This window comes from Homo sapiens, chromosome 9 (assembly GCF_000001405.40).
Source record: "Homo sapiens chromosome 9, GRCh38.p14 Primary Assembly".
NCBI lineage: Eukaryota > Metazoa > Chordata > Mammalia > Primates > Hominidae > Homo > Homo sapiens.
In genome coordinates this window covers 76,570,789-76,579,722 of record NC_000009.12, presented here as the reverse complement: position 1 = coordinate 76,579,722, position 8,934 = coordinate 76,570,789, and the positions used below count along the sequence as shown (strand labels likewise).

General features: G+C 44.0%; 1 annotated feature.

Annotated features, from left to right (window-relative positions):
• Window positions 8,346-8,425: a silencer, noted in NCBI's record as "silent region_19963". NCBI's record gives its function as "represses an Ori minimal core promoter by ATAC-STARR-seq in GM12878 lymphoblastoid cells {active_cell/tissue: GM12878}" and the evidence as "EXISTENCE:reporter gene assay evidence [ECO:0000049][PMID:35858748]".

Genomic DNA, 8,934 nt, shown 5'->3' with positions numbered 1-8,934 from the left:
TGCACTCCCATCTGGGTGACAGAGTGAGACTCCATCTCAAAAATAAAATAAAATAAAATAATATAAAATAATAAAAAATAGGCCAGGCACGGTGACTCATGCCTGTAATCCCAGCACTTTGGGAGGCCGAGGCGGGCAGATCACAAGGTCAGGAAATTGAGAACATCCTGGCTAACACGGTGAAACCCCGTCTCTACTAAAAACACAAAAAATTAGCCAGGCATGGTGGCACGTGCCTGTAGTCCCAGCTACTTGGGAGGCTGAGGCAGGAGAATCGCTTGAACCTGGGAGTCAGAGGTTGCAGTGAGCCGAGATCGTGCCACTGCACTCCAGCCTGGGCGACAGAGTGAGACTCAGTCTTAAAATAAATAAATAAATAAATAAATAAATAAACAAATAAATAAATAAAAGTAAAGAGTTCTGTGTATAGATGAGGCTTATCCACTGGTGGCCTCCCTTTAGGATGACATGGCTGGACTGTTTTCCTGGAGAAACTCCAACTATCAGAATTTGTCTTGACTGAGGTTCCCTCAAAGCAGATGTAGAAACAGAGAGCCCCATTCAGGTCATCTATTTCAGAGGTCATCTCAGGAAACCCTGGTAGGGAGGTGGAGAAGTGGCAGGAAAGGGAAGGGAGTCAGCATGGGTGGACAATCAGAGCTCAATTCTGTGGGGGGCTCTGGGGGTCAGTGTAGGTCACGCCCCTCAGGATCCTCTCCCTGATGGAAGAGCAAGAGAGCCACGCCCTTCTCAACCACCTTGAAGCCTGTGAATTCTCTGCCTCTTCTGGCTGGGTCTGTCTGCAGGTTGAGAGAAGCGTTCACCTGAAGAAAGCTGCAGGAATTGGCAGGAAACCATCTTTAGGTGCAGAAGTGGATGCTAAGAGGGACACGGGCAGAAGGCTGATGGTGTCTGCTTCTGCATCTTTAGAACTTTCCTCAGGCTGGTCAGCTTCCCCTGAAGTGAATATTGCCATCTCCTACTTGTGGGTTAGGAGACTAGCTGCCAGCACTCTGGGATCTGGGTGAGAGAGAGGACTGGGCTCTCTTTAATCTTAGCTTTTGCTTGACCAACCTATTCTCAGTGTGGAAACTCCTCTGCTGTCCCCTTGTCCCCTAGTCACCATTGGTTCATACTCTCCGGAGCAGCGCTGTCCAACAGAAATCTCATGGGAGCCACGGAAGTCATTTTAGATTTTCTATCAGTCACATGAAAAAATAATAAAAATATACAGGAGAAATTAATTTTAATGTGTTTTATTTAATCCCATTGATCAAAAATATTATTGTTTCAACATATAATCAATGTTTCCATTATTTACTTATTTATTGAGATAAGAGTCTTGCCCTGTTGCCCAGGTTGGAGTGCAGTGATGTTACCATGGCTTACCGCAATCTTGACCTTCCCAGGCTCAGGTGATTCTCCTGCCTCAGCTTCCCAAGTTGCTGGGACTACACACATGTGCCTCCATACCTGGCTAATTTTTGTATTTTTTGTAGAGATGGGATTTTGCTATGTTGCCCGGGCTGATCTTGAACTTCTGGGCTCAAGTGATCCATCCTCCTCAGCCTCCCAAAGTGCTGTGATTACAGGTGTGAGCCACTGAGCCCAGCCTACAACATATAATCAATGTTTTTAAAAATCTTTTATAATTGTACCGAGCCTTCAGAATCTGGCATGTATTTCACACTTAACCCACATTTCAATTTAGAATAACCAGACTTAAAGAGTTCGGAAACCACATGTACTTAGTGGCTGCCGTATTGAGCAGTACAGCTCTAGAAACTAAATTTCCAGTCTAGTGCAAAGGTGAGGGGAGGGGCAGGTCTTCTGCTGCAAGGCATTGAGAAGGAAGCTGGGAGTCTAATTGCTTCTTTATTTATTTATTTGAGACGGAGTCTCGCTCTGTCGCCCAGGCTGGAGTGCAGTGGTGCGATCTCAGCTCACTGCAAGCTCCACCTCCCAGGTTCACACCATTCTCCTGCCTCAGCCTCCTGAGTAGCAGGCGCCCGTCACCACGCCCAGCTAATTTTTTGTAGTTTTTTTTTAGTAGAGACGGGGTTTCACATCTCTTGACCTCGTGTTCCGCCCGCCTCGGCTTCCCAAAGTGCTGGGATTACAGGCGTGAGCCACTGCGCCCGGCCTAACTGCTTCTTAAAAAGACTTTTGACTGACTCTGTTTTCCCATTTACCCTCATTTTAGAAATTCCTGGTGGCCCCAATTTCTGAGCATTTTTGTGGTTCTGTGGTGCAAATAGGATGGATGACTCACTTTCCCTCACTGCCAGCTTAGGTGTTGGCCTCACCGAATCTGCTGGGTCAGCTCACACTCATCCGTCAGCTTTCCATCTTTCCATTTTTCCTTGGTGTTTCCTCCACTCCAAGTCTCTTTGTCCTTATGGGTTTGTGCCTTAAAAAAAAAAAAATCGGCCAGGCACGGTGGCTTGCGCCTGTAACCCCAGCACTTTGGGAGGCTGAGGCGGGCGGATCACGAGGTCAGGAGATCGAGACCATCCCAGCTAACACAGTGAAACCCCGTCTCTACTAAAAATACAAAAAATTAGCCGGGCGTGGTGGCGGGCGCCTGTAGTCCCACCTACTCGGGAGGCTGACGCAGGAGAATGGCGTGAACCCGGGAGGCGGAGCTTGCAGTGAGCCAAGACTGCACCACTGCACTCCAGCCTAGGCGACAGAGTGAGACTCCGTCTCAAAAAAAAAAAAAAAAAAAAAAAAAATCATCCATTTTCATTTTATTGGAATGTTTGGAGAGAACAGAGATAAACATAGATGTTGAAACCACCATCTTTAACTGATCATCAATAAGTTTTCCATATCAATGGAATATGATTATTTTTGTCTATAAATTTTTTGTGAGTCTGGTGTTTTGGTTTAAATCATCTGAAAACCCTATGTATGCAATAACTATTTCCAAAAGGAACAAATGGATGAATAATGAGATATCCAGGAGACTGACTTAATCCCCAAATGTCATCCAATCCAGTTAAAACCAGTGCCCAGAAAGCGACACCCTCTGGGTCACCCTTCAGGGAGCCTGTTTCCCCTTGCACTCCTTAGCTCAGCTCATTTCTCTCAGTGACTACTGAGCTAAGAAAGCCCCCAGAAATAGTTAAGAATTTTAAAGGCTCTTAGCAGCAAACCAAATGCAAGACGGAGCCATGAGTCAACTGTTCCACCTCCCTCAACCTCATCGCCCAACTGCCTGCTAGAACAGACCACTTCCTTGTAATACACACGCTCTTTCTCTAGCACGGAGATTTAGCTTAACTCTGCCTTCCCCCACCTTCATCCTCATTTCTTCTTTTGAAAGGGCTGGGTTCCTTTTTGTGCTTTTTTTCTTGAATCTTAAAAATGAAGCCCAGGCCCCTTAGAACACAGAGCAATGTTAGAGTCCAGTCTTTATGTGTAATCAGTGTAGGGCTAGTAGTTTTGAGGTTCTTTGTTGGTTTGGTTTTGTACTTACTAACGTATTATTCTAGAATCCAAGAATAAATGAAAAGCAATTTAAATATGTATTAGAGTATCTCATAAAAGCGCCAAAAATGAGATTTTATTCATAATATACAGAAAAAAAATCAAGTTCTTTCCTTTTGCGTAAATGAAAGCCGTAGGAATCAAGAAATCTTCAGACCCAGAGATACCATTTAGTTAGCTTCTTTTACTGACACAGGGGATAGTTCAACTAGATTCCATACATATCTAGACAGTAGACAGTAAAGATAAGGGAAGCCCTAGAAGCTCCTAAGTGTATCAGAACCCAGAGGTTATTTCTACAGATGAAATAAAGAGAAGTAAATTTGGAGGTGGGGATATGATCATAGGAGGAATCTTGCTGTTTCAAAGTTCACAGTAGTGAAATCAGCTAAACAGGCAAATTGAGTTAAATTGGAAGCTCTTCAACACACTCCCCATCAGCTTACTGGGTTCTGGTCTCACAGGATCTAGCATGTTATGGCTGTGTACTGCCCCTACCTCCACCCAGGCATCCCATATATTATTTCCCCAGCACACATTTTCAGCTCTATGTATTGGGATATATTTTATTCACATCAAATTATTTTATTTTTATTTATTTGTTTATTTATTTTGAGATGGAGTCTCACTCTGTCACCCAGGCTGGAGTGCAGTAGCGTGATCTCGGCTCACTGCAAGCTCCGCCACCCAGGTTCACGCCATTCTCCTGTCTCAGCCTCCTGAGTAGCTGGGACTACAGGCACCCGCCACCATGCCCGGCTAATTTTTTGTATTTTTAGTAGAGACAGGGTTTCACCATGTTAGCCAGGATGGTCTGGATCTCCTGACCTCGTGATCCGCCTGCCTTGGCCTCCAAAAGTGTTGGGATTACAGGTGTGAGCCACCGCACTCGGCCTATTTTTTTATTTATTTATTTTTCAGACAAAGTCTCACTCTGTTGCCCAGGCTGGAGTGCAGTGGCGCGATCTCAGCTCACTGAAACCTCTACCTCCTGGGTTCAAGCGATTCTCCTGCCTCAGCCTCCCCAGTAGCTGAGATTACAAGTGCCTGCCACCATGCCTGGCTAATTTTTGTATTTTTAGTAGAGACTGGGGTTTCATCATGTTGGCCAGGCTGGTCTCAAACTCCTGAGCTCAAGTGATCCACCCGCCTTAGCCTCCCAAAGTGCTGGGATTACGGGCATGAGCCACTGCACCCAGCCTATTCACATCAATTTTTTAAGTCATAAAGATAATAGGATTGCCCTAATAAAAATTCCCATTACATTAATATTTCCTGACAAAATATTTTTCTTATAAAAATGTCACATTTGCCTAGATATTTAAAGTTTTCAAGACATTTCAAAACACCTAATCTTGCTTCCTTTTCACAACAACGTTATATATTTGGAGAAAGGTAGTCTTATCAGGCATCTTATTTGTTGATTAGTGTATTTCCTTATCACCCCGTAATACAAAGGACTGGAGGTAGAACAACAATACTGCTGGAAAAGGTAGGGTCAGGACTGGACTCCGGGCTTCCTCACTTCTAGCTGGAGGCCCTGTCTCCTGAGGATCTTTATTACTTAGGCCTTTAGCTCCTTGCCCAGAGGTGGCCACCAAAATATACTTGATCAGAAGCCAACTCTCCTGTCAACTTAAGTGCTGACTCAGGGTTGGTCGTGGTGATGATTTAGGGCTCAGAAGAAACATCATGTTTCTTTTCCTCTTTCTCCTTGTCTTCTTCCCTTTTCTACTGGAAGAATTCAGTCCTAATGTCATTCAGCAGGGCAGAGAAAGTTGGTTACTCTGAAGTAGGGGTGATGGCCCAGCATAGGTGTCTCCCCTGAACAGGGTGAGGAGGGTATTCATGATTGAGGACAGCCTGGTATATCAGAGAGCCTAAGTAGACAAGAAGGGCTTCCAGCTAAGAGGGGTGCCTGTAGTGGGGGTGGGAACCCCAGCACGACGAGGAGGGAAGCCCCATGGAGAGACAGCCTAGCATAGGTGTAGAGTCCAAGGAAGATGCCCGCAAACTGGTATGGGGACCTGGAGACCCTGCTGGGTAAGGATGACACCGCCACAGCCGGGAGTGCCTTGTGTAGGGAGTCACAGCCCAAGGGGCCAAGGAGGGGAACTGCATGGCACATAGCCCTTGGGTAGGGAACCAGAACCCTGATGGGGTGAGGATGATGTCCATGCGGGGTCAGCAGCATGTCATGGACCGAGTCAAAGCAGGGTAAGGGCAGTTTCTGAGGGGTGGTGGTGGCAGGTCAGAGCAAGGACAGGGTAAGGAGGGTGTGTGAGGGGTAAGGGGGACAGTGGCTCTGATAGGAGACTGGCTTCCTACAGGGGGATTGAGCAAATAAGGAGACTTAAGGATAATGGGAGCCAGATTTCTTAACTGTTGGAGTTCAGAGTCACAGATGTGGAAAAAAGAAAACTATTGGGGTGCACTTACAGTTTTCAATATAGATAGATTAAAAAATACAGATGACAATGTATATGTGTGTTTGTGTGTATGTATGTATATACTTTCATATATTTTTATGCAGCTATATACTTACATACATCCTCCAACTCTGTCTACTAAGAGAATCTCTCTTAGCAATAAACACAGCCCAGATTTCCTCTTCTAGATACCATTCTCCACTAAAAGAAACCAGGGCTTCTTGGAGAGATTTCAAGGATTCCAGGATTCAAGTCCTGATTCCAGGACTGAGGTAGGAAACTTGAGTATGAACCTTGTGTCAGAAAGCAAGGAAATGATAGAGATATATCAAAAGGACACAGAAACCAGCTTCATCATCAAAATGAATCACTGTTGTAATGGATTATAACTCCTTAAATAAAGTAGAAAACTATGAGTCCTAATAATGTTAGTATATGGATAAATGGAAGGTTTGAGGACGAATGGAATATTTACATAGAACCTCCTGCATAAAATATGTATTAATGATAGCAGGAAAAATAGTAACTTCCTAATGGAGAAGAAAAGCAGACAGCACCTTAACCAATGATCAAAGTGAACAATCAGCAGTCATGGGAAAATTGAATTTGTGCATCCCTGATAGGATCCAGTAAAAAGTATTAAGGGTCCCTCCTGGCTAACACGGTGAAACCCTGTCTCTACTAAAAAATATTAAAAATTAGCCAGGCATGGTGGCGGGCACCTGTAGTCCCAGCTACTCAGGAGGCTGAAGCAGGAGAATGGCGTGAACCTGGGAGGTGGAGATTGTACTGAGCTGAGATCGCGCCACTGCACTCCAGCCTGGGCAACAGAGCGAGACTCCGTCTCAAAAAAGAAAAAGTATTAAGGGTCACTTGAGAAATTCCTGCCAAAGATGCATGAATTGAATGAATTGAGTCCCATATCAGACAAAGCCAAATTGAGTGACTTCTACAAAATAACTGGCCTGTAATCTTCAAAAGCACCCAAGTCAGAACAGTCAAGGAAAGATAGAGAAACTAACCACTGCAGACAGAAGACTAAAATCATTGACAACTAAATGCAACAAAGGATTCTCAAGTGGATTCTTTAACTGTGATGGATTCACTGGACAATTGATGAAACTTGAATGCGGTCTGAGGATTAAATTGCTGTAATACAACAGTGTTAACTTGCATAGTTTAAAAACAGTATGGTTGTAAAAGAATGTCCTGTTTTTAGGAAACACACACTAACGTATCCAGGGGAGATACTTACTATCCAAGGTAGTCAACTTACTATCAACTGGTTCAAGGGATGTTCTTTGTACTGTTCTTACAAAGTGTCTGTAACTTTGAGATTGTTTAACACAATTTTTTTTAAACAAAGTTAGTTGTCATTTTTAAGAAGAAGAACAACGAAAATAGAAAAGAACAAACAAACAAAAATATGTCACATCAAAAGATGCACACAGCGCTGGCAGGGAAATGTTAAGTGGTATGATTCATACATGGATTCTTTTCCCAGCAAACAAAATGCCCCATGCAGTAAACTACCCTCTCAGGTGGAGAATGAAGTAAAGCCGCACCTATTCCAAACAAGGCAACCAAAAGGCTTTTCTTATTCCATGACCACAGACAAAGCCTAGAGAGAATGTGCAAAAGCACAAGAAAAACACATGGCCACATTTCCCATCTCATTATTATTATTATTATTATTACTTATTTGCTTTTGTTATTATTATTTTTTTCCCTTTCTTTTTTTCTTTTTTCTTTTTTCTTTTTTTTTTAACAAACCCTTGTGTCGAGGGCTGACTTTCAATAGATCGCATCGAACGAGCTGCTCTGCTAAGTAGGAAACCCCGACCCAGAAGCAGGTCGTCTACGAATGGTTTAGCGCCAGGTTCCCCACGAACGTGCGTTGCGTGACGGGCGAGGGGGCGGCCGCCTTTCCGGCCGCACCCCGTTTCCCAGGAGGAAGGGCACTCCGCCCCGGACCCCGGTCCCGGCGCACGGCGGGGCGGCCCGCCGGCGGGGACAGGCGGGGGACCGGCTATCCGAGGCCAACCGAGGCTCCGCGGCGATGCCCCATCTCATTATTATTGAAAAGGAATTTCTTTTATGTTTTTAAAAATAAATACCACTTTTTAAATGGTAAAATTAGTCTCCTTCCATTTAAAGAAACATACCATCCCAATGAAAAGCTTTGCACTAGGAAAAAGTTTCCTCAAGGATAGCTTTGGAAAACAGAGGAAAACGAAACAAAATTGCACCACCCTGACACAGTGACTATTATGAACTATTATGAGTCTTGTCTCCGTATTAAACGGCTGTAATCATAGCATGCCATTAGATTCCTTCTGTGTGCTGTGTGAAAGTAGCACAGTGGTTAAGCACAGGTTTTGAAACTGACTGACCAAGTTCCTCATCTGGCTTCTGCCACTGTATGTGACTTTAAGTTATTTTCCAAACTGCTATAAGCCTCAGTTTCCTCCTGTATCAAACAGGAACAATCTACTCCCTTATCTTGGGGTTTATGAGAGATTTAAATAAGATCATGGATGTAAAGTACTTAGCCCAGTATGTGGCATGTTTTATGTATTCAGTCAATACTTATTATTTTCTCATGAGTACTTTTCCATGTTTTAAATAATCATCTGCTGTGGTCTGAATGTTGTGTCCCCCTAAACTTTCTATGTTGAAATACTAACTCCTATGCTGACACATTAGGAGGTGGGGCATTTAGGGAAGTAATTAGGTCATGTGAGCAGGGCCCTCACAAATGGGATTAGTGCCCTTATAAAATAGGTCCAAGGGAGTTCATTTGCTCCTCCCACCATGTGAGGACACAGTTAGAAGTTGCTGCTCTAAAAACTAGGAAGTAAGCCTCATCAGACACCAGATCTGCTGGCATCCTGATCTTGGAACCATAGCTCCCACTCAGCCACTTGATCACGAGGGTAAACAACCGATACTGTACTCTAATGTGTTGTGTTCAGTACATGACATGAGATGTTTAACACTGTATTATAGATGG